We start from the raw sequence: 25,903 nt of genomic DNA, 5'->3' as shown, positions 1-25,903 counted from the left end.
AAGGGAGCATATAGACAAGATGAGTCTTCCCGGTAGCCTAAAAAAAAGGAGGAAGGTGCTACACTGTGCATCATTTTAAGTGCTCTGCGCCAGCTCTCAATGTCCTACACATTAACTCAATAATCCTGACAACCACCACAATGCATTAGGTAGTATTAGCAAAATGGTTAGGAGAAAAGATTCTGGAGTCAAACCACCTGCATTCCAATACTGACTTCACACTTCACTAGCTGGGTGTCCTTAGGCTAGCTACTTATCCTCTCCAACTCAATGAGAGTCATCTGAAAGCTCAGGATGATATTTAATGCCTATCTCCTGGGGTTATTGTGAGGCTCATGGGTCAAATATTCATAGCATAATGCCTGCCACAAAGTAAGCACTCATTAAATAATGTTGTTATATAGGCAATAGTAATTATCTTGCACAAGATCAAACACCAGTAAGTAGGTAGAAATCCTGGTCTTCTGACTCCAAATTCCAGGCTTTTTCTGTGACCATATGTTACCCTACTGAATGTTTATTTTTCCTTAAATGATTAAAATACCATAGTACGGTTTGTGCTGTTCTAAGAACACTGAAGTATTCTCGCTAATTATACAAACTGCAAAGAAAAGATCACTATTAGCAGAATATAATGCTGTTTCACTTTGCACTGGCTTGAGAAAAAGCCCCCACATAACAGACCATTTCTGAGATTCCCAAGAGCTATACTTTCCAGGAGTTATATACTTCTTTGATACCAAAACCAGTGTCGCACCTGCCAAGGGAAAGGACTGTCAGTTTGACTAGTCTAGAGGCCACGTTACCTTCTCTCTTTTGTGCTAAGTGGTGACAGCCGACTGTTCATCTCCCTTTTAAAGTTGTTCTCTAATATTTTATTTCAAATTCCTCCAAACAAAACAACTTGCAGCTGCAAGTCATGCTAGCTTTCTGGTTCACTGCCTACTTGGGCATAAATAACCAGTACACTGGCTCCTACTTTAACTACCACTAGGCCTGGCACAGTTCCAGGCTCTTTGGGTACTGACGTTGTGGAGTCCATAAAGTTAATTTTCCAGACAAACTTGATTTAACCTGGTATGAACTTCAGACGATGCAGCTCTGGGGAAATTCACACTGACTTTCTCACTTCATTTCAAAATATTTTTTTTAATTGTCAAAAAGAAACATTCATGAACATAGACCATATTCTTTCTGGGTCATAAAACAAAATAAAACATTTCAAAGAATTTAAGTCATATAAACTGAGTTCTCTGAAAATAATGGAATTAAACTAGAAATCAATAACAGATATCTTTAAAAATCACCAAATAGTTGGAAATTAACACACTACAAAAATAACCCATGAGTCAAAAAGGAAGTCACAAGGAAAATATTTTTGGGCCAGGCATGGTGGCTCACATCTATAATCCCAGCACTTTGGGAGCCAATGCGGGAGCATCATTTGAGGTCAGGAGTTCAAGACCAGCCTGGCCAACATGATGAAACCCTGTCTGTACTAAAAATACAAAAATTAGCTGGGCATGATGGTGCATGCCTGTAGTTCCAGCTACTTGGGAGGCTGAGGTGGGAGAATCGCTTGAACCTGGGAGGCGGAGGTTGCAGTGAGCCGAGATCACACTATTGCACTCTAGCCTGGGTGACAGAGTGAGACTCCATCTCAAAAAAAAAAAAAAAAAAAAAAATATTTTGAACTGAATGAAAATGATGATACAACATATTAAGATTTCTGTGATGTATTTAAAGTGGTGCTTACAGGAAAAATTATGGCATTAAATGCTTATATTAGAAGGCGGGGTGCAGTGGCTCATGCCTGTAATCCCAGCACTTTGGGAGGTTGAGGCAGGCAGATTATCTGAGCTCAGTAGTTGGAGACCAGCCTAGGCAATATGGTGAAACCCTGTCTCTACAAAAAACACAAAAATTAGCCAGGCGTGGTGGCACACCTACTTTGGAGGCTGAGGCAAGAGGATCGCCTGAGCCTGGGAGGCAGAGGTTGCAGTGAGCCAAGATCACACCACTGCACTCCAGCCTGGATGACAGAGCAAGACTGTCTCAAAAAAAAAAACAAAAAAAATTCTTCCAAACATTTAAGGAATTAATAATACCAATTTAATGTAAACATCTCTAGAAAATAAAAGGGAAGATAAACACTTCCCAACTCATTTTCTGAGATCAGCATTATCCTGATGCCAAAATTAGCAGATATTACAAGAAAACTATACATCAATATCTCTCAAAACATGAATGTAAAAATTTCCAATAAAATATTACTAATCAAATCCAGCAATACATTAAAATGATAAAATCATAAATAAGTTGGGTTTATCCCAGGAACAAAAGGTTGGTTCAACATCTAAAAATCAATATAATTCACCGTATCAACAGACTACATAAAAACAATTAGGTGGTGCACACCTATAATTCTAGCTACTCAGGCCTGGCAGAAGTGGGAGGATTGCTTAGGCCCAGGAGTTCAAGGGTACAGTGAGCAGTGATAACACTACTGCACTCCAGCCTGGGTGACAGAGCGAGACTCCCTCTCAATTAAAAAAAAAAAAGAAAAGAAAGGAAAAGGAAATGATCACCTCTAGATGAAGAAATGCATTTGATAAAATTCAACATCCATTCATAATTTTAAAAAGCAAACAAAAACACTAAGCAAACTAGGAATGAAAGTGAACTTTCTCAACCTCCTATTAATAAAAGGCTTCTGTGTTAGATACATATGGTTGCATAACAAATTACCCCAAAACATAATAGCAAACATATTTCAGTTTCTAGAGGTCAGGAACCCAAGTATGGCTTAGCTGGGTGCCCCTGGCTCAAGGTCTCTCACAAGATTGAACTTACATTGTCATCTGGGGCTACAATCTCATCTGAAAGCTCACTGGAGTTGGGGTGGTGGGGGAGATCCTCTATCCTCAAAAGGCTACATACGGTCTGATTCCATTTTCATGACATTCTGGAAAAGGCAAAACTATAGAGACAGAAAACAGATCAATGGTTGCCATTTGCAAACAATTTCTGTTCACAGACCACCTCTAGGCCATCCTTGTACTGGGTTTCCAGGGCAGCCACCAGCCCTCTCTCCTCAGCTCCAGGCTCCTTTCTGAACCCTTCCTGGGTTTACATTTAGTAGCATGCTGCTTGACACGGGATTGGCCCCTGTTTCATAGACACTGTGTTAATTTTCTCTCCTCGGGTACTGCTTCCAGGACAAGTACCCGCATTGATGCTGGCACTGGGAACGGGACGGATGATAAAGTGTGAGGCACTCTGCCCAGTGGCAACTGACATGATTTCATAATTTCCCCAGGTCCATCCGCTTCCCGCCAGTGTGCTCAGATTTGAGCAGTAGGAGTCCGTTGGGAGAAAGATGGGGGAAAGGAACCAAAAACAATTAAGGCAGACTCTGTAAGCTTCCACCTCCCACACCAGAAAAGTCCCACAGCAGAAGACTGCCGTGGAACCTTCCCTACTGTAGAGGAAAGTGCTGACTTTAAGCAATTTCTGCAGTCACGCCTTCCTCTTCTTTCCTTTCTCCCTCTCATTCATTCACTGACGCCGCAGCACTGATCAGCACAGACACAGAAGATGCCTCCAAGGGACCAAAGGGAATAACCGCGGTTCTGAGGTGTGGGGACTGCTGTTGCAGGGAAATGTGGACCGCTCAGGAGGGGCTCCTAGCGCAGGCGTCTTGCTCCGCAGACGCGGTTACAGCTGCGCTTTGCACGGCCTGCGGAAGTTTGCAAATCTAGCAGGTCTGCTCTCCCGGCAGCAGGACTCGGCCCGCGGTCAGGACAGCTCCCATGGACGGAGGGCGGCCCTCCGAGGCCTTTCCCTGCAGCCGGGAGGGCGGCCGGGCTGGGCCGGGCCGGGGGTGGGAAGCTGGGGCGCGGCGGCCCCGCCCAGGCAGACCCGGGGCGGGAGCCGGTTCCCATAGGGATCGCGGGCCGAGCCACGCCGAGCCGAGCTGGGCGGAAGAAGGCGAGGCGGGAGCCAGGCCCGTCCCTGACCGCCGCGGCGCCGTGAGTCCCGGGCGGGCAAGGAGGCGCGGGCCGTCCCTGGCCAACACGTGGCACCGCTCCATGCTGCGCGGCGCGGCTGAGGTGCACGTCCGGGCGCGGGAGGGTTTTCCCAGTCCCGGGGGCGTGGGGCGCGGGGCGCGGGTTGGTCTCCTGCGGCCAAGCCTCGCCGCCGCCTCCGCGGGGAGCCGGGAGGTGTCTTCTTGCCGCAGGGAAATGAGACCCGAAATTAGAACCGGGGAAGCCCTTAGCCCTCCCCGTACTCCAGCCAGCTCAGGTGTCTTAGATCGGATGAACGATAACGTTAAAAAGATAGCTTATCTTACAGCTCGGCTCGTTTTAGGATGGCAAGTTACATTTTAACTTACAGGGTATTTAACGGGCGATTAAAATCGGGTTACTGGAGGCAGCTAACTCTAGGCTGTTACTCCTGATCGCGTTGCCATTGCCGACACGGGTACACTCTTCATTCCTTAACATGTGCTGTTCTGTTCTAGGACCGTGACAAACACTCATCGTTGGGTGGGGCTCTAGTGCAGTCCGTTGGTGCCAATATTTTATAAGCGACGTTTTCAAACTATGTGAAGATCCTTTCTTTTCTTTTCTTTCTTTCTTTTTTTTTTTTTTTTTTTTTTTTTTTTGAGACGGAATCTCGCTCTGTCGCCCGGGCTGGAGTGCAGTGGCGCGATCTCGGCTCACTGCAACCTGCGCCTCCCAGGTTCACGCGATTCTCCTGCCTCAGTCTCCTGAGTTGCTGGGACTACGGGCGCCCATCACCACACCCGGCTAATTTTTTGTATCTTTAGTAGAGACGGAGTTTCAGTATGTTGGCCAGACTGGTCTCGAACTCCTGACCTCAGGTGATCTGCCCGCCTCAGCCTCCCAAAGTGCTGGGATTACAGGCGTGAGCCACCATTCTCGGCTGAAGATCCATTTTAAGAAGATTTATTCCTCTATGATGGAGAAGTATGAAAAAATTGGGAAAATTGGAGAAGGATCCTATGGAGTTGTTTTCAAATGTAGAAACAGGGACACGGGTCAGATTGTGGCCATCAAGAAGTTTCTGGAATCAGAAGATGACCCTGTCATAAAGAAAATTGCCCTTCGGGAAATCCGAATGCTCAAGGTAATTGATTCACTTTTCCTTTTTTTTCTTTTTCGAGACAGGGTTTCACTCTGTCTCCCAGGCTGGAGTGCAGCCATGTGATCATAGCTCACAGCAGCCTGGAACTCCTGGGCTCAAGCCATGCTTCTGCCTCAGCCTCCTGAGTAGCTGGGATTACAGGTTCTAGCCACTGCTCCGGGATCCACTTTTTCTTTAAAGTGAATTTTTAGGGATGAAAGAAATAAAGTGAGTCATGTTATGTTAAAAGAATGTCATGGGACATGGTTATATCTTACTTCATAGCCTTTTGACTTCAGTGACACAAATGGGATATCTGTGCACAAGTCACTAATTATATAATGAACTAGAAAGCAGAGACAAAAGTGCCAGGTAAGGTGGCATTCACTTTTAGAGATGCTGTGGGATATTTATTTTTCTTCCCCATAATTTCTCTCCCACCTGTAGACCTGGGTTTTCAAGGACCATTACAATTTGATAGTATAGGAATGTAAGACAATTCAATTTTGCTGGCATTGTTGATTTTTAAACTTCTAAGGTATTTCCTATTGGTATACTCAGTCTATTAAGAGAATTAACATTTACCTGTTTTCAAACTGCTAGGAAGCTCACAGATTCTCATTACACCTCATATGTATTTACTGCTGAGCATCATCATGTCCCGTTTCTAAAAAGAAGCGTTTTTCTTAAAGAAGTGAAATGATCACTTTCTAATTTTTTTTAACATTTTTTAGAGATGGGATCTTGCTATGTTGGCCAGGCTGGTCTCGAGTTCCTGGCCTTAAGTGATCCTTCCACCTTGGCCTCCTAAAGTGGTGGGATTACAGGCATGATCCATCGAGCCTGGCCTGATCACTTTTCAAATGTTTATTAGTTAACCCTAAAAATAACATGATATCAGAGGGGGGAAAGGTATTTATTACAAGCTGAAAGTGTGTTTTTCGCTAATGGAGAGACTACTTTACAGAACTTCTGTGAAGGTAAAATCCAAATCGCAATGTGAAAGGTGACATGTAATGAATATGGTGGAGGTCAACTTTGTTTCAGTTATGGCCTCTCTGTTCTGACCTGTATAACTACTATGTGACAAGGGAAGAGCTACTTGATGAGAGACAGATGAATGAAACTTCCAGGGGATTTACTATTATTCTTGCTTCTCCATTTTCTCCAGATCACTCTACAAATCTTGTGCCCATGGATAAGTGTGTGGGGTCACTTCTAGATAAGGAACCTAAATGGAAAGTAGCAAGCTTTGGATAAATTGGAATGGGTGGGTAACAGGGCAACTTCTCTATTTAGGTTTGGAATGTTCTTAACCAACAGGATATTATCTATTGAGAGGAGATGCTTCCAAAGCCCCGCAGGGGAGTGCTCCCATGGGCAGGGGTGAGACCTGCAGTGTTTTGACCATCCCCCTGCCCGGGTCACCCTACCCTTACCCTCTCTGTACACAGGGAGAGGCTGTTGGGCATTTTCACTTCCTCAGGCTTTCCCAGGGGAGGAGGTGATCATTACATTTCAAAGGGTTCATTTACCTGAAAGAAAATCTGTTTCTTGCAGAAAGATACTCTTTTTCTGATTCTGAAGATTACTTTTGTGAATGCTCCTTTCAAATCTCTCACTACACTTTATCAATACTACATTAACAGTGATAGCTCCCCAAATTCATTGAGTTCTTCTGGGATGGAGACCTTGCCTCTGTAGCTCTATATCCCCAAAGCACACTAGTTGGCACATCTAGGCCTCCAAAAAATGTCATTGTTGGATTGGAAAAAAAAGTTAACAAAATAAACTCTTAACAAAGGTGGATGTTGCCAATAAATGGGGAAGTCAAATGTGTTCTCTTATCTGAATATTGATATCCTCCAAAGGATGGGGTTGTGTACACATGAGCCTGATTTCAAAGCATGCAGCACCCCACTCTCCAAATTAAGTGCACAGATGTAGACACCACTGATCTCTATGAAATGGTGGGACTAGATTATAGGTAGAGTCTGTTCTTTAAAGCTGTAACTTTTCAGAGTTGTGTGATATTCCTAACACATAATACGTACTAGGCTGGGCATGGTGGTGCGTGCCTGTGGTCCTAGCTACTAAGGAAAGAGGCCAAGGCAAGAGGATGGCTTAAGCCCAGCAGTTCAAGGCTATGGTGAGCTATGATTAGGCCACTGTATTCTATCTAGCCTGGGTGACAGTGAGACCCTGTCACTTATAAAATAAAGATACTTAATAAATATTTGTTGAGTAGGTGAATTGAGGGTATGGTAAATGAACATTTTATTTTCTCCATTTATGGATTCAGTAAATACTCATAGAGCCCCAGTTGTGCCTAAAACGATGTTTATGCAAAGTTGTACACCCTGTCTTTCAGAAGCTCAGCTCTTGGAAGGGAGGTAAGTTGAATTGCCCTTTGGCTCTCACCCCTTATAGACTGGGTTCCCAGTGAGCAGGGCATGTGTACCCTTGCCTGGTAAGAACTCTTTAGGTGCTTGTTGAATGGTGAAAATAAAGTGATTGGAGGCATGTTTGAGCTGAACTTTGAAATGTTTAGGGAAACGTGGAATGAGAGATAAGGCATTTCAGGCAGACACTCTATCCTAGGAAAAGGTGCATAAGTAGAAAGCACCCTATATTGAGGGAACACAGGTAATAACCCAGTGTCTTAGCCAAGATGCCCAGTGGGTGCTAACAGGCCAGGGAGAGAAGGAAGGGGGAAGCCAGGGTCCGGCAGGATCAAGTCATATTCTAGATTTCTTCTGAAAGAAGAGCACATAGGAATCTAATGATTGGATGAGAAATCAAGAACAATTTCAAGGTTTTTGACTGATTGACTGGAAGAATGAGGAGATTGTTCACTGTGATAGAGAGACCCAGGTGCAAATGTGGGGGAAAGGAGATGAAGAGCTCTGTTTTGGACAGGTTAAGTTTGAGTTGTGAACCCAAGGAGACTTGTAAAGTAGGCAGTTGACTACACAAGTCTGGCATTCAGGGGAAGTCCAGGTTGGAGACAGAGTTGGGGGACATAAGCATATCGATGGTATTTAAAGCTGTGGGACCGGAGGAGGTCACCATGTGGGATGGAGGGACAGGTACTAAAGGTGGAAGCTTGGTGTACCCAGCCTTTGGGGGTCAGGAAGATGAAAAGGAACCGGCAAGGGAGGCAAGAAGAGGCGATCTGCATGGTAGGAAACCCCATAGAACAATGTTCTTTCATTATTATTATTATTATTATTATTATTATTATTATTATTTCTTTTTTGGAGACAGTCTCACTCTGCTACCCAGGCTGGAGTGCAGTGGCACAATCTCAGCTCACTGCAACCTCCGCCTCCCAGGTTCAAGAGATTCTCCTGCCTCAGCCTCCCAAGTAGCTGGGATGAGAGGTGCCTGCCACTACACCTGGCCACTTTTTGTATTTTTAGTAGAGAGAGGGTTTCACCATGTTGGTCAGGCTGGTCTCAAACTCCTGACCTCAAATGACCCGCCCACCTTGGCCTCCCAAAGTGCTAGGATTATGGGCGTGAGCCCCCGCTCCTGGCCATAGTGTTCTTAAAAGCTTAGTGAAGAAGATTGTTCAAAAGTGAGGGGATGCTCTGTGTCTCCATTAGTAGATTTAGGATTAGCCATTGGCTTTGATCATGTGAGGGTCTTTGGCGACCTTGACAAGAGCTGTGTGAGTGGAGAGGCAGGAATGAAACCTTCATCAGCAAGGGATTAAGAGAGACGAGAGGAACAAAGTGGAGATAATGATATGGGCAACTGTTTTGAAGAGTTTTATTACAAAAGGAAGACAAAAATGGGGCAGAGGTGTTCGTAAAGATGTGGGCTGAAGACAGGTTTTTTTTGTGGTTGTTTTTATTATACGAGTGAGAAGTACATTTGTATGCTAATGGTGTAAATAAATCCAGTAGAGAAAAAACTTGATGTTGGAGGAGGGAGAGAATTGCTGGACCCGTGACCTTGAGTTACTGCCCTGAACCATACCAAACATAAATATCATTGCATAAAAAAAGACAATTTAGGCCAGGCATGGTGGCTCACGCCTGTAATCCCAGCACTTTGGGAGGCTGAGACGGGCGGATCACTTGAGGTCGGGAGCTTGAGGCCAACATGGCCAACATGGTGAAACCCCATCTGTATTAAAAATACAAAAACTAGGCAAGCGTGGTGTCAGGCACCTGTAATCCCAGCTACTTGGGAGTCTGAGACAGGAGAATCGCTTGAACCCGGGAGGCAGAGGCTCCAGTGAACTGAGATCGTGCCCCTGTGCTCCAGCCTGGGCGACAGAGCAAGACTGCTAGATTCTTTACATACACTCTCCTTAATCTTTCTGTAACAGGATCCACAGCTGGCTCTAAGCTATGGGGTGGAACTTCTTCTACCAGGGTATTCACCGTCTTCTGATTTGCATATGACACATGGACCCTACCTGAATTCAACTCCTTTCCGTAACTCAGGTTTAAACATACTAAGGATTTATTGGATGAGAGGTAGGGTGGTCATAACAGAAGTCAGATTACAGAGAAAGACAAGGTAACAGGAAGAAAATCACGTTAAATCAAGAAGTCAGGAGCTGGGTGTGGTGGCTCACGCTTGTAATCCCAGTATTTTGGGAGGCCAACGTGCTGATCTCTCGAGCCCATGAGTTCAAGACCAGCAGGGGCAACGTGGTGAAACCCCATCTCTACAAAAAATAGAAAAATTAGCTGGGCATGGTGGCATGCACCTGTAGTCCCAGCTACTCAGGAAGCTGAGGTGGGAGGATCACCTGAGTTCTGGGAGTCAAGGCTGCAGTGAGCCGTGATTTGTGCCACTGCATTCCAGCCTGGGCAACAGAGTAAGACACTGTCTCAAAAAAAAAGAAAAATCAAGAAGTCAGGCATGATGGGCTGGAGCATCACAGGCCCTGTCGTGGAAAGTGGGCAGTGGTCTGCATAAAGCAGTTGGATGCACTTGAACTCCATGCAGCCCCTAGGGGAATATCTGTGTGTCCGGCAAGGGGCAAGGAAAGGGCTATGTGGTTCAAAACAAATACAAACCATACAAATACAAAGTAATACAAACCAAAACAAACAAATACAAAACAAATACAAACCATACAAATACAAAGTAATACAAACCAAAACAAACAGATACAAAACAAATACAAACCATACAAATACAAAGTAATACAAACCAAAACAAACAAATACAAAACAAATACAAACCATACAAATACAAAGTAATACAATAGAATAATTGTATTACTAAGGCCCCAAGCCCCTATGCTGCTGAACCTTCTCTCTGTGGAATGAAAATGGTAAGAAGAGGAAAGAAAGAATTTCTGCCAGCAGTGGCAGAAAAAGTAGATGCTCCTAGCGGAGTTGGAGGTCAAGGACAGGACAGTGTCACTGTGGGATCCCTGGGCAGACGTTCTACCTATGGCAGGTGGTATGGGGGCGTTAAAATATATTAGACCAGCATTGGTCAAGGGCTGAAAGCAGCAGCTGGGACATTGTCTATGACATGTCTCCCTCCAGAAAACAAGAAAAACAAGTGAGACAAAGAGAAGGAATCATCTACTGCTATGTGGCAGGTAGGGGCAAGGGACCTAGTAAATTTGGACAAACTGCCAAGTATCATTGTTACTTAGGATGCACAAATTACACTAATAACAACCTTAGAAGGTAGATATCGTTACACTAATAACAACCTTAGAAGGTAGATATTGTTATCCCATTTTACAAATGGATTCAGTATGGTTAATGATTTGCCAAGGCCTCCCGGTCAGTAAGCTGGAATGCAGACACAGTTCTGTCTGTCCCCAAGTTCATGCCATGTGGTTTCCCCATACCAGAACCATCCATCACTTTATACCAAACACCATACTCTGAAGTCTCCCAATGACTGGTCGTCAGAATTTATACTGCCCGTTCTCCCGCAGGGCCTTAGCTGTGAGATTTGTGGCTTCTGTGGAGGCCTGAGTGCAGATTGTAGCTGAACAGCCGTTCTTTCCATATCTCATTCCATAACCCTATGGACTATTTTAGAAGGCTAAAATAGCCTTCTAAACCTTTGTACAAACCTTTGTAGGTTTGCCACCTACAAAGATGAGAATAAGTGTGAGGGGAAATGTCCATTTGAAAATTAATTATAAATATCACAACGTAATGCAGAGATTCATAATGAGAACAAGGTCACTCCTAAAGGGTGAAAATTGGTTCTTGGCAGGTGGCAAAAAAATCTAACTTTTTTATTGTTTAAAGCACAGATATACATATGGTTCATATACAGATATATAGTATATTTGTGATATTAAAATTTCATTGGTAAGTGATTAGAAAAAATGTGTAAAATGACTCTTTGAGGGAGAGAAATGAAAAAAGGTGCATGGGGTGTGGGCGAGTGGCACTGTTGAGTGTATCCTAGGTGCCAGAAGTAGGCTCTCATTTGATTTTAATTCATCGTGAATAGTAACCTGCAGAATGTCCAGAGCATCCCTTTTTTCCCTGCTGTCCCCTTTGATCAGTAGCCTTATAGAAGGGACAGGGGCATGGGGACAGGAGCTACAGTTAGAGACTTCAGTTTTCTTTTCTCTCTCTTTTTTTTTTTTTTTTTTTTTTTTTTGAAGACAGTCTCACTCTGCTGCCCAGGCTGGAGTGCAATAGCGCAATCTCGGCTCACTGCAACCTCTGCCTCCTGGGTTCAAGCGATTATCCTGCCTTAGCCTCCCCCAGTAGATAGGACTACAGGGGCGTGCCACCACACCCAGCTAATTTTTGTATTTTCAGTAGAGACAGGGTTTCACTGTGTTGTCCGGGCTGGTCTCAAACTCCTGATCTCATGATCCGCCTCCCTCGGCCTCCCTAAGTACAGGGATTACAGGCATGAGCCACCACACCCAGCTATGGAACTTCAGTTTCTGATCATGCTTGAAGCTGTGGAGTGACCTTGGGCAAGCTCTGGTGCTTCCTGGAGCCTGGCGTGCCTTATCGCTATGATTTATGTCCCTGTTTGGCATTGCTTTGCTGATTTTTTGCTGAGGAGGGCAGAGGGCTCTTGGGCCAAACATCTAACAGCGGTCAAGCAGCCTCAAGGATGCAAGAGCAGGAAAGTAGAGGGTCAAAGGGAGTAAACATAGAAGAGGAAAGCACAGACAGAAGGGCAGAAGGTGGGATTTTAACATAGTGCTGTGGCCAACGGCCAACGGAGGCGCTGGAGGCAAAAGCTCTTCACACAGTCCCCCAAGAGGCTCACTGTCTTCAAAGAGCAGACCAGAAGTCCTGCTGGGCACATTACCATCATGGTGACAGGCACATGCTTTAAGAAGTAGGACTGTCAAGGTTGCCTGTTATCCAAAGCATTTATTAAGTGCTTAACTGAATGTGCTCTGTGCAGTGCCACATCCACTAAATGCTAAGAGTACCATGTAAATGCTCCCTAGCATTAGAATCTAATTAGAACTTTCATAGTTGGAAGGGCTTCTGCTCTTCAAATATTAGTTGAAGGAGTGTTTCCTCACTCAGTAAAAACCTCAGCCAGCTGCAGTGGCTCATGCCTGTGATCCCAGCACTTTGGAAGGCTGAGGCAGGTGGATCACGAGGTCAGGAGTTTGAGACCAGCCTGGCCAACATCCCCGTCTCTACTAAAGATACAAAAAATTAGCCAGGTGTGGTGGCGGGCACCTGTAACCACAGCTACTTGGGAGGCTGAGGCAGGAGAATCGCTTGAACCCGGGAGGTGGAGGTGGCGGTGAGTCGAGATAGAGCCATTGTGCTCCAGCCTGGGCGACAGGGCAAGACTCTGTCTCAAAAAAACAAAACAAACAAACAAACACCTCAGTGGAAAATCCTGTGACATCTTTAAGAATTTCATCCTGCTTTTGCTAATAGGGGTCATTCTAGGCTCCCTCTCTTCAAATTGTTTAATTGGCTTGTTGAGGTGAATTAATAACATATGTCTATTAATTGTTTTAGCTGAGTTCAGCATTTTCTGTTATGGATTATGGATTAACAAACCCAAATGTCTGTGGAATCACACTGTTAACATAAATGAGGGAAGCAGTCTGAATATAGGGCAAGATGGAGAGGTGGAGACTGGGGCAAACTGGGGTCCTCATGTCTGATCTAAAGTGGACAGCTACTGCTCAGTGCCACAGACTGCAAGCCTAAGGTGCTGGGTTTTCAGTCTTTTTTTTTTTTGAGATGGAGTCTTGGTCTTGTCACCCAGGCTGGAGTGTAATGATATGATCTGGGCTCACTGCAACCTCTGCCTCCCAGGCTCAAGCGATTCTCCTGCCTCAGCCTCCTGAGTAGCTGGGATTACAGGTGCCCACTACCATGCCTAACTAATTTCTTGTATTTTTAGTAGAGACGGGGTTTCACCATGTTGGACAGGCTGGTTGTGAACTCCTGACTTCAGGTGATCCACCTGCCTCGGCCTCCCAAAGTGCTGGGATTACAGGCATGAGTCACCGCATCAGGCCCACCACCCCCACCCCCATTTTTTTTTTTTTTTTAAGACAGGGTCTCAGTCTGTTGCCCAGGCTGGAGTGCAGTGGGGCAATGATGGCTCACCGCAGCCTCAATCTCCAGGGCTCAGGTGATCCTCCCACCTCAGCCTCCTGAATAGCTGGGACTACAGGCATGCATCACCACACTAGGCTAATTCTTTGTATTCTTTTTTTTTTTTTCTTTTTGAGACGGAGTCTCGCTCTGTCTTCCAGGCTGGAATACAGTGGCGCGATCTTGGCTTACTGCAACCTCCACCTCCCAGATTCAAGTGATTCTCCTGCCTCAGTCTCTTGAGCAGCTGGGATTATAGGTGCATGCCACCACACCTGGCTGGTTTTTGTGTTTTTAGTAGAGATGGCCAGGCTGGTCTCAAACTCCTGACCTCGGCCTCCCAAAGTGCTGGGATTACAGACATGAGCCACTGCGCCCAGCCAATTCTTTGTATTCTTTGTAGAGATGGGGTTTCTCCATGTTGCCCAGGCTGGTCTCAAACTCCTGTGCTCAAGCAATCCTCCTGCCTCGGTCTCCCAAGGTACTGGGTTTACAGGCATGACCCCCAACATGTCCAGCCAGAGTCTTTTTTAAAAAGCCAGAAATCAGAATTTTATGTAAAGTGTCCTGGGATTTTTCCTACAACCTTTTATTCTGAGAAAAAAATCAAAATATACAGAAGTGGAGAGAATACTGCAATGAATACCTGCATACCCTTCGCTAGATTAGTTCATCAACTGTTAGAATTTTGCTGCATTTCCTTTCTGTCTTTTTTTCATTCTTTTTAGCGACAGAGTCTCACTCTGTTGCCCAGGCTGCAGTGCAGTGGCACAGTCATGGCTCACTGTATTCTTGAAATCCTGGGCTCAAGTGATCCTTCTGCCTCAGCCTCCTGAGTTGCTGGTATTACAGGCGTGTGAGCCATAGTGCCTGACTAATTTATTTATTTTTTGTAGAGATAGGATTTTACTATGTTGCCCGGGCTGGTCTCAAACTCCCAGCCTCAAGCAATCCTCCCACCTCAGCCTGCCAAAGCCCTGGGATTACATGTATGAGCCATTGTGCCTGTACTTCCTTTATCCCTGTTTCTGCCTCTCTCTCTCTCTTTCTTTCCCCCTCTCTCACACATACTTTTTTGGCTGAGCCATCTACCTAAATATTTAGCATAATCTCCTGAAACAAAGATGTTCTTCTGTATAATCACATTATGATTTCCATACTCAATAAATTTATCATTGACTCAATACTATTATCTAATATATAGTCTATGTTCAAATTTCTCATATTGTTCTAATAATGGTTATAGAACTATATATATAATGAAATAACTATATATATAAATGTGTATAGTTATTTTTAAATCCAGGATCTATTCAGTGACTGTACATTGCCATGACTTTTTTTTTTTTTTTTTTTTGGGACGGAGTCTTGCTCTGTTGCCTAGGTTGGAGTGCAGTGGCGCAATCTCAACTCACTGCAACCTCCACCCCTTGGGCTCAAGCGATTCTCGTGCTTCAGCCTCCCGAGTAGCTGGGATTACAGGCACCTGCCACCGCGCCTGGCTAATGTTTGTATTTTTAGTAGAGATGGGGTTTCACCATCTTGGCCGGGCTGGTCTTTAACTCCTGACCTTGTGATCCACCCGCCTTGGCCTCCCAAAGTGCTGGGATTACAGGTGTGAGCCACCACGCCTGGCCCATTGCCATGACTCTTTAGTCTCCTTTAATCTGAAAGAGTTTTCCACCTTCTTTATTCTCTTATTTCATCTTTCATGAAACTGACATTTTTGAAAAGTCCAGGCCATCTGTTTTGTGGAATGTGCCTCGACTTAGACTAACTGGCTGTTTCCAAATGATTTGATACAGGTTAAATGTTTTCAGTAAGAACACTGCATGGGTGAAGCTGTGTTCTTCACACTAGCTCCCATCAGTAAGTGTATGATGTCATTTTTGTCCCCTAATTGGTACTATCAGTTTTAATTCCTTAGTTAAGATGGGTCTGCCATATTTCTCAATTGTAAAAATGATTTTCTCCTTTATAATTAATAATCTGTGGGGTGATATTTTGAAACTGTGGCGACCTTGTTCCCCAACAACTTTCACCCAATGGTTCTTTTTTTTTTTTTTTTTTTTTTTTTTTTTTTTTTTTTTGAGACAGAGTCTTGCTCTGTCACCCAGGCTTAAGTGCAGTGGTGCGATCTTGGCTCACTGCAACCTCCACCTCCTGGGTTGAAGCAATTCTCCTGCGTCAGTCTCCTGAGTGGCTGGAATCACAGGTGCCTGCCATCATGCCTGGCTAATTTTTGCATTTTTAGTAGAGACGGGATTTCATCATGGTGGCCAAACTGGTTTCGAACTCTTGGCCTCAAGTGATCCACCCACCTCGGCCTCCTAAAGTGCTGGGATTACAGGTGTGAACCGAGCCGCCATAGCCGGCATCAACCAATGGTGATGTAAAACAGTTATTGTAAAATAGTTATTTTTCTACAATTCTTTCTACACTCATTAGTTATCATTTTTCTGTAAAAAAAAAAAAAAAGAAAGATTTTCTTCCCCTCTGCCCCCACCCCTCCTTTTCATATCACTGTGGATTCATGGATTTTTAAAAATTCAATATGTTACACACCATCACTGTCAGTATTCTTTCTGACTCTCAATTATCACACATTTAGCATTTGCGGCTCCTTCCATCTAACTCCTGTGTCCTGACAGATGTCCATCCTTCTTTGAGCACTTGCTTACTGTGTGGCACAGCCAAATGTCCCAGGCTCATCCTGCCCCAGCCCTGTATCAGCCATTTCTCCAGAGACCCCTGGTTCCTTTTAGTGAGAATGAGATCTCTTGACCTTAAAATGTTGACAAATAATTTTTAAAAATTTTAAACATCATTCAGGCCAAGTAAAACACATCTGCAGATAATGTTTGCCATATAAGCTGCCAGTTTGGGGCCTTAGGGATTGGACAGTTTTCATTCTCTGCACATGTTCTCATAAGAGACTCACAGAGATCTGGCCCATTGATGTTCATTACTAATGTATAGATAGATGCTGGGAGTTTATGTAAACTGGTTGTCAGTAGCATAGGAGACAAAACAGAGCATTCCCTTGCCCACAATGATAGAAACCAAACAATCCTCTTATCATTATCTCTCCCTATTGGTTCAACAAGTGGGGACCTGTTGAATTTTATTTTTACAAGATAATATACTAACTGCAAATAGTAACAGGCTGTTTTGTTTGTTTATTAGAAGATTTTTGGTTGAGCTCTTGATGTGTTTATCTAGAAAGATTATATTCCGGCTGTGTAGTGAACTCCTAAGTGATAAAGCTGCCACACAAATACTTTCAGAACAACAGAAGCAGAAACCAACAAGCTGGCTCGTTACCTTCTTAAAGACTCCCAGTTTGCAAGGAGATTAAGCACATACCACCATCTGTCAGTGTTCTGCCGCCACTACACACACCCTGCCACACACTGTAGACTCTAGAAAACAAATGTCACAGAGCAAGAGGAGGCAGGAAAAGTGATTTTTGTAATTCACATTGATAAAAGACATAATTTATGCTATTGCTTTTTTGCCCCTTAAATTATTTTTATTTCTAACCTGTAAAATTTCTAGGTGGACAGCATTTTGTTGTTGTTGTTGTTGTTGTTTGTTTTTTTTTTTTTTTGAGACAGTCTCACTGTGTTGCTCAGGCTGGAGTGTAGTGGCACAATCTCAGCTCACTGCAACCTCCTCCTCCCCGCAGGTTCAAGCGATTCTCCTGTCTCAGCCTCCTGAGTAGCTGGGATTACAGGCACACGTCACCATGTCCAGCTAATTTTTGTATTTTTAGTGGAGGTAGGGTTTCACCATATTGGCCCGGCTGGTCTCGAACTCCTGACCTCAAGTGATCTGCCCGCCTTGGCCTCCCAAAGTGCTGAGATTATAGGCATGAGCCACCACGCCCAGCCGACAGTGTGTATTACATATCGTTATTATAAGACTCCAAACCGGCCAGACATGGTGGCTCACACCTGTAATTCCAGCACTTTGGGAGGCCGAGGCAGATGGATCACGAGGTCAGGAGATGGAGACCTCCTGGCTAACACGGTGAAACCCCGTCTCTACTAAAAAATACAAAAAATTAGCCAGGCGTGGTGGCACACGCCTGTAGTCCCAGCTACTCTGGAGACTGAGGCAGGAGAATGGCGTGAACCTGGGAGGTGGAGCTTGCAGTGAGCAGAGATCGTGCCACTGCACTCCAGCCTGGGCAACAGAGCGAGACTCCGTCTCAAAAAAAAAAAAAAACAAAAAACTGTAAACCACACTAAAAGGTAGTAATTATTGGCTGGGCATGGTGGCTTACGCCTGTAATCCTAACGCTTTGGGAGGCCAAAGCAGGCAAATCGCTTGAGCTCAGGAGTTCAAGACCAGCCTGGGCAACAAGTGAAACTTTGTCTCTACAAAAAATGTGAAAATTACCCAGGTGTGGTGGTGTGCACCAGTGGTCCCAGCTATTCAGGAGGCTGACATGGGAGGATCACCTAAGCCTGGAAGGTCAAGGCTGCAGTGAGTGTGATTGAGTCACTGCACTCCCACCTGGGTGACAGAGTGAGACCCTGGCCAAAAATAAAAAAAAAGAGAGAGAGAAAGAGAGGGAGGAAGGGAGGGAGGGAGGGAAGGAAGGAAGGAAGGAGTAATTTTTATACAGAATGAATGGAAACATTCTTAAAGGGGCAAGGCTTGTGTCTTTCACTTTAAATTTTTGAAAAAAAAAAATTTTTTTTTGAGATGGAGTCTTGCTCTGTCGCCCAGGCTGGAGTGCAGTGGCACGATCTCAGCTCACTGCAAGCTCCACCTCCCGGGTTCACGCAATTCCTACCTCAGCCTCCCGAGTGGCTGGGACTACAGGCGCCCGCTACCACGCCTGGCTAATTTTTTTGTATTTTTAGTAGAGACGGGGTTCCACCGCGTTAGCCAGGATGGTCTCGATCTCGTGACCTCGTGATCCGCCTGCCTCGGCCTCCCACAGTGCTGGGATTACAGGCGTCAGCCACCGCGCCCGGCCTTGAAAAATGTTTTAATCCACCTTTTTACTTGGCAGAATTGGTGTTTTAGGCCACAAATTTCCTTTCAACAAGCATATTTTCTTGCTAATTATTAACTTTCTTTATTGCTTATTAACCTTAAAGTCCCTCTAGTGAAAACACTCTTGGGTAAAATTGCCTGGTTGAAAATCTTTGAACTCCATCTATTTTTTTGTCGTTGCTGGAATAATGAAAGGTTAAGAATTTCTAAACTGGCCAGGCACAGTGGCTCACTCCTGTGATTCCAGCGCTTTGGGAGGCTGAAGCAGAAGGATAGCTTGAGCCCAGGAGTTCCAGGCTGCAGTGAGCTATGATCACACCACTGCCCTTTAGCCAGGGTGACAGACTGAAACCCTTTATCTAAACAAACAAACAAACAAACAAACAAACAAACAAAAAACCACACAGAATTTCTAAACCAACAGATGTTTTCGGCCACACATAAAAACCAATGAAATAATTGACTTTATCACAGGGTTGCTGCATTAATTCTTGGCTGTGTCAGTGCCATTTTTCATTTTTGTCACAATTGTACTATTCCTTCTCTCATAGTACTTTCCACGTACTGTGTTAGTCAGTAAAACAGGTCAAGCATCCACGGTGCACATCACTGGCCTGTGCTGGGTCTTGAGAGGAATGCAGAAGAGACCCGTGAGCCAGGTGTGAGGCTTTGTTCCTCATACATGTAAGCTGAAGGAGAGGTAACAGGGCAGCAACACAGATGAGTTGGGAAAAGGAGCTACCTCTTTGTCACTTGCTTGTTCCCTCCAGACCTGCTCGAGCCTGATTCCAGATGTTTTCTTAGGACAGTGGTCAGTATATCTCTATTATCCAGCTCACAGTGGGCAGCTTTGGGTTACTCAGTCACTTGATGTCCTACATTCATGTGCTCACTCTACCAAGTCCCAATGACATGCCAGGAACTGGACACATGTACACAACTGGGTATGCCAAGTCATATGGCCTGAATAGTAGGGCAGCTTTGACCTGCTGTGCAAAGTTCCCTCTTGTCCTGGGTCCTACTCAGTGTTAGCAGCCTTCTAAATCACTTGGTAAATTAGGCAGAGCAGTGCCCAAGGGCTGTACATGCTGCCTCCAAAATCCAAAGACACCCACCAGGAGCAATGCCCTTTTTTAAATGGTAGGGGATACAAGGTGCAACAATTTGTCCTTTAAAGAGGATACAGCTGGGCATGGTGGTGCCCACCTGTAGTCACAGCTATTTGGGAGGCTGAGGTGGGAGGATCACTTGAGCTCAGGAGTTGAAGGCTACAGAGAGCTATATAGTGCACTCTAGCCACTGCACTCCAGCCTTGAGGACAGAACAAGGCTCTGTCCCAAAAAAAAAAGGAAGTCACAGCATGCCCCAGGCCATTGGACTCCTAGAATACCACTTATATGCCATTCCCCAGAGGGTTTTCTTCCACTCTGTGGTACACACATATCTTAACTGGACAGCCAGAGTACTTGCCATTTCTGTTCACCAGGAGATCCAGTTAACATGATGTCATCAATACAGTGGAGCAGCATGATATTCAGTGGAACGTCAAGACAATTAAGGTCCTTGTGGATTATATGGTGACAGAGTGCTGGAGAGTTAACTTAGGCTTCAGGCAGGACAGTGAGTGTGAACTGCTGTCCATCCCACACAAGGTGAACTGCTTTTGATCTAACTTACTGATTGGTATTGGAAAGAATACATTCAAGTCAATAGTTGCATGTCAAGTGCCAGAGCCTGTGTATATCAGTTCCAGGAAAGATACCATATCTGGCCCAGCTGCTGCAATTGGAAGTACAGTTGGGTTGAGTTTATAGGAGTCTACCAGGTGAGTTGAGGGGGTTAGCATGGGCATCACCACCTCTGCATTCCTAAGTCTTTGATGGTGGTACTCATCACTGCATTTTCTCCTGGGATGCAGTTTTGCTTCGGATTTACTATTTTGACCAGGGTTGTGTTGCCAGGGAGGAAGAGCAGTTTCAGGAGCTTGTGTTTGGCCCTTTCTGCCATATTGGCTCTTACTTCACAGGTCATAGAACCAATGTGAGGGTATGCTTAGCTGACTGTTAAGCATACCTATGCCAATTTTGCATTTCTCAAGTGGAGGAAGTTATCTCAAGAATGGATTCATGGACCTGTTAAGCCCAGTATGAAACGGTGCTCTAACCTGAGGCCATGGTAGCATTTGGGGTCCCCACATATCAGTGCCAGCTCAGACCTTGTAGCCACAGCCCTTGAAAGGTCTGAGTATTTTCCTTTCCCAGTTACTCTGGTAAATAGCCACAGATCCCTTTGAAAAGTGAGGAATACTCACAGTGGCATTGCAGGATCCTCCTTCAAGGTGACTCAGTCAGCAACACTTTGGACTGGAACTGACTTAGATCTAGAAACTGGGCGAGGAGCTGCAGGTTTCCACTCTAGCTGTTGACACCAACCTTCTGCTTGCTCAGTTTCTTCTGGCAATGCAAGTCGGGTGACACATGAGCCAGCTGTCCTTCTATCTCACCTATAGGAACTCCATGGCATTCCTGTGCATTATTAGCACAGATTTCTGTGAAATAAGGTGTTCTGGCTTGCTTCTCATCATGGTAATTTTATGTACCTTGCCACTGTAAGCACCTGGTCTCTGCCACTCTGGAATCTTATCACTTTCATCAGAACCAGAAAGCCTAGTTCCGTGGTAGCATCTCCAGCCTACTGAGGACAAGCCTGTCTACCCCACCCACAGAGGACAGCAGTGATGAGCTCTTGAAGATGCCACTGGGCTCCTTTCTGCTCCTTACTGCTTCAGTGGAGGGAGTATCCTCTGGGCCTTCCAAGGAAACATAATCAGGTGGTAGGTCCTGCAGTCCCACATCACACATCCTTTCTAATATTTCCCCCTCCTTGAGTCCCCAGGCCCCTTCCTCAATACTCTGCCAAGGCACTTCCAGCATGTCTGCCTTACCTACTAAAAGCCCAACCTTCAAAGAGCTATGCCAGCAGCACATTTTAAGACTGTCTCCTGTGTGCTGTGGCTCACACCTGTAATCCCAGCACTTTTGGAGACTGAGGCGGGCAGATCACTTGAGGTCAGGAGTTTGTTACCAAACTGGCCAACATGGCGAAATGCTGTCTCTACCAAAAATACAAAAATTAGCTGCGTGTGATGGTGCGCACCTGTAGTCCCAGCTACTCGGTTGGCTGAGGAGACAGAATCTCTTAAGCCCAGAAGGCGGAGGTTGCAGTGAGCCAAGATCACACCACTACACTCCAGCCTGGGTGACAGAGTGAAACTCTGTCTCAAAAAAAAAAAAAAAGATTGTCTTGACAGGCACAGTGTCTCACAGTATCCCACGTCTGTAATCCCAACACTTTGGGATGCGGAGGTGGCAGAATCGCTTGAGGCCAGGAGTTTGAGACCAACCTGAGCAAGATGGTAAGACCCTGTCTCCACAAAAAAAATTTTTTTAATTATCCAGCCATGGTCATGTGTGCCTGTGGTCCCAGCCACTGGGGAGGCTGAGGCAGGAGGCTCACTTGAGCCTAGGAGTTCAAGGCTGCAGGGAGCGATGATCATGCCACTGCACTCCAGCCTGGATGACAGATTATGACCCTGTCTCTATAAAAAATAAAAGTAAAATTTAAAAAAGAACTGTCTGCAGGTGTCCTTGTCAAGAATTAAGTCCCAAGTTATGCGACAGTGTAGTGCTCTCATATTAATGAATTTCCCCTTTTCCAGCCTTACATTTTACTACTATCACGGCCCAGCCCCTTCAAGACGGCTGCTGGTACCTATGAGGCAGGTCTTGTCATTCTTGAGTGCAGTTATTTCCTCGCAGAGCAAGAACCTTATTGCCCTACTCAGGCACTGCAACAACCTCATCCTATTATAGGTCCGTGGGCCCTAGAAGGAGGTGGGGTAGAATCTAAGGAGGACAGGCATCCCCCTCCTAAGGAGGCACCTGCATCATGTGAGGGATTTTTAAGGTCTGCAGGTAAAGGAAGCAGCTAACCTACAGCAATGGAACTGAGTTGCTTTTCCTAGCCCTGAAGGTTCAGGGAAATTTGAGAATTTCAGATTCTCAGGCTCTTTCTCGTAGATGTCCCTATCCTAGATCTCAGGATGATTCTCTTTTCTCACCATAGCCCTGACTTAGACATGAGAGACCTGTTGAGGCTGGATATTGTCCCCTTTGTAGCTCTGCTGCCCTTTAAGTCCTGAGATTGATTTTTTGGCACAGTCTGTCCTGTCTGTAGGAGATAAATGTCTCTGAATACTGCCAGCAAGGCCTCCTGACTCCCACAGATGACTGTTCGTGGCTAACCTGACCCTGTCATTTTCTTTTTTCTTTTTTCAGTGATTTATAGGTGTTAACAAGAGCCAGCTTATTCAATACTTCCCATAATGACCATTGCCGCATACCACTCATGTGCCACTGCAGTGCCGAAGCAAGCTTACACCCCATTCAAAACCAGCCCTGACAAAAGGCTTAGTGACTGTGTTGCTACACCTCCCTGGGCTCCTCCCACCCCACTTATCATCAGCAGTGGGGTCCTTGTTGCCATCTGCTCCATGATTGATCCAGTTCCAGAATTCCATTCTGAAGGCCTGCTAGCTAAGGCCACTTCAGGTACCAATGGTCTTAGACTGTGCACCTCCCAGAAAGTAAAGTCTGAGACAGGAACTGTGTGTTAGGAGTTTATTTTGGGAAGTGATACCAGAGAGCAGGAGTAGGTGACAGGGGAGAAAACAAGGAAGGAGGAAACCCAATGTAACCAGGAACGGGGACTCATCCTGCCAGGCCTCTTTAAGGAGCCCAAGGAACGGAAGAGAGGACACTGAAGCACCCTGTCCCCCATTGGTCCAAGGCTCCCCTATGGAGTGTTAACTCCTGCAAGTACCGAATCCCAGCAGCATCCCACACCTCAGCATCACACAAGGCCTGGGCAGAAAGCAAAAACCAAGGACAGCTGGGGTGAGGCTCTGTCAGGCTACAGGCGCACAAAGCTAGCTGCTGCAGTGGTTTCAGCAAATCTTCAATTAAAAGATGGGCTGAAAGAATGGGAAACAAGACAAAAGAGGCGACTAAAACACTGACCTCCTTGCTGTTCTAGAAACACTCCAGGCAGAATCCCACATAAAAGCCTTTGGAATGATTGCTCCTACTGCTTGGAACGTTTTCCCAAACATCCTTAAGACCTTTACCTTCTTCAGATCTTTTTTCATTTATCATCTCAGTGAGGGCTTCCCTCATTTAAATTTCACCATTCCACCACGCTATGCCCCTATCGACCTTGTTTCTTTCCATAAGACTTATCAACATCTGGGTGCTTGAATATAAGCTCACGAGAGCAGAGATTTTTGTCAGTTTTGTTAAGTATATAATCCCAGATCTTACAGTAGTGTCCAGCAGAGCAGAGGGCTCAATATAGTGTTCTTAACAATAATATATGACAAGTGAATATATGAAAATGGAAGGATTTTAAAATATTTTTTCATGTACTTCCTATTTTCACATATTTTAATGAACATTTATTTTCATATATTTTTTATAAAATTACTCAGTAGCTTGCCTTCTTCACTCAGCAATAACATCATGGTCATCAGCCAATAGATAGGCCTCTATTAATTGTACTTTCTTAATACCTGCATAATATTTATTATTTCCTGGTCTGAATATAGCACAATGTATTCAGCCATCCTCCTCTATTACAGGATGTTCATGTTGTTTCATATTTTTTGCCTCCACAGGAAGTGCTGGAATCCTGGTATGGATATTTTTATGCAATGATGCTTTTATTTATGGAAAGTATATTCTCAGAAGTGGAGTGCTAGTAAGAGGACGTGTCTGTGTGTGTTTTCAATAAATTTTATTTTTAGAATAGTTTTAGATTACGGAAAAACTAGAAGATAGTAGAGTTCCCATATACCCTGCTCTCAGTTTTATCTTTTAGTAACATCTTATATTAGCATGGTATAGTTACTATAATCAATGAACCAATGCTGATGCATTATCATTAACTGAAGTCCATCTATACTTTATTTGCATTTCTTTAATTTTTTGTTGAATTTCCTGTTTCTGTTCCAGAATCCCTTCTAGGAAACTACATTACATTTAGTAATCATTTAGTAATCATTTAGAGGAGGCTGTGTCCGCAGCCTCCTCTTGGCTGTGACAGTTTCTCAGAGTTTACATGTTTTTGATGACTCTGGCAGTTTTCAGGAGTACTGGTCACATATTTTGTAGAATGTCCCTCTGTTGGAATTTGTCTGTTTTTTCTCATGATTAGACCAGGGTTATGGGCTAGAAGACCACGTCCCATCCCATCAAGTGTACATACTATCAACATGACTTACCGCTATTTTTTTTTTTTGAGATGGAGTCTCGCTCTGTTGCCCAGGCTGGAGCGCAGTGGCACCATCTCGACTCACTACAACCTCCGCCTCCCGGGTTCAAGCGATTCTCCTGCCTCAGCCTCCCAAGTAGCTGGGATTACAGGTGCCTGCCACCACACCCGGCTAATTTTTGTATTTTTAGTAGAGACGGGGTTTCACCATGTTGGCCAGGCTGGTCTCAAACACCTGACCTTGTGATCTGCCCGCCTCAGCGACTTACCACTATTGATGTTGACCTTGATCACCTGGCTGAGGTAGTGTCGTCAGGTTTCTCCACTGTAAAGTGACTTTTCTTCTGCCATTCTATTCTATGCTGTTTGGAAGGAAGTCACTACGTGCAGCGCACTCCTACAGAGGGAGAAGTTAGGCTCCCGTCCCTGAAGGTGGAGTATCAACATAAATTATTTGGAATTCTCCAATATAGGAGATGTATCTACTCTCCCACTGACTTATCTTTTATTTATTTGTTTATTCATTCATCCAGTCAATCATTTATTTATATTAGTATGGATTTGTGGATATTATATCCCTTTGATATACTTCCATCAATGTAGGGTTTGCTTTGGTTTGGGTTTTAACACTTTATTATTTTCTGGCACTGCAAGATGCTCCATGTTCATCTTATATATTTCCTGCCCAAGTTCTAGAATTGGGTATTTCTTTTTTTAATTTTTTTTAATAAGTTCCGGGATACATGTGCAGAATGTGTGGGTTTGTTCCATAGGTATACATGTACCACAGTGGTTTGCTGCACCTATCAACCCATCATCTAGGTTTTAAGCCCCACACACATTAGGTATTTGTCCTAATGCTCTCCCTCCTC

At 44.7% G+C, this 25,903-nt stretch overlaps 1 protein-coding gene across 11 annotated transcripts in view, besides 4 other annotated features; it reads left to right on the top strand.

Annotated features, from left to right (window-relative positions):
- CDKL1 (cyclin dependent kinase like 1) overlaps window positions 3,557-25,903 on the top strand; it is a 71,034-nt gene continuing 48,687 nt past the window's right edge. For 3 of the 11 annotated variants that reach the window (NM_001367064.3, NM_001423763.1, NM_001282236.3), the window contains exons 1-2: window positions 3,557-3,637; window positions 4,526-5,154. In NM_001367064.3, coding sequence (NP_001353993.2) covers window positions 4,987-5,154 — 168 coding nt within the window. In that variant the 5' untranslated portion in view covers window positions 3,557-3,637; window positions 4,526-4,986. Of the gene's footprint in view, window positions 3,638-3,973; window positions 5,155-25,903 lie in introns of those variants that run through there. The other 8 variants (NM_001423764.1, NM_001423767.1, NM_004196.7 and 5 more) reach the window with 4 other exon arrangements.
- Window positions 3,563-4,062: an enhancer, noted in NCBI's record as "H3K27ac hESC enhancer chr14:50863511-50864010 (GRCh37/hg19 assembly coordinates)". NCBI's record gives its function as "activates a minimal SCP1, AML or CMV promoter by ChIP-STARR-seq in naive H9 embryonic stem cells {active_cell/tissue: H9 hESC(naive)}" and the evidence as "EXISTENCE:reporter gene assay evidence [ECO:0000049][PMID:30033119]".
- Window positions 3,563-4,270: a biological region, named in NCBI's record as "H3K27ac hESC enhancer GRCh37_chr14:50863511-50864010".
- Window positions 3,656-3,881: a silencer, noted in NCBI's record as "fragment chr14:50863692-50863917 (GRCh37/hg19 assembly coordinates)". NCBI's record gives its function as "represses an EF-1alpha promoter that drives an FKBP-Casp9 reporter gene in an ReSE screen in K562 erythroleukemia cells {active_cell/tissue: K562}" and the evidence as "EXISTENCE:reporter gene assay evidence [ECO:0000049][PMID:32094911]".
- Window positions 3,821-4,270: a silencer, noted in NCBI's record as "silent region_5722". NCBI's record gives its function as "represses an Ori minimal core promoter by ATAC-STARR-seq in GM12878 lymphoblastoid cells {active_cell/tissue: GM12878}" and the evidence as "EXISTENCE:reporter gene assay evidence [ECO:0000049][PMID:35858748]".

Source organism: Homo sapiens, chromosome 14 (genome assembly GCF_000001405.40).
Source record: "Homo sapiens chromosome 14, GRCh38.p14 Primary Assembly".
In the NCBI taxonomy this organism is placed as follows: Eukaryota; Metazoa; Chordata; class Mammalia; order Primates; family Hominidae; genus Homo; species Homo sapiens.
This window is presented reverse-complemented; position numbering and strand designations above follow the sequence as displayed.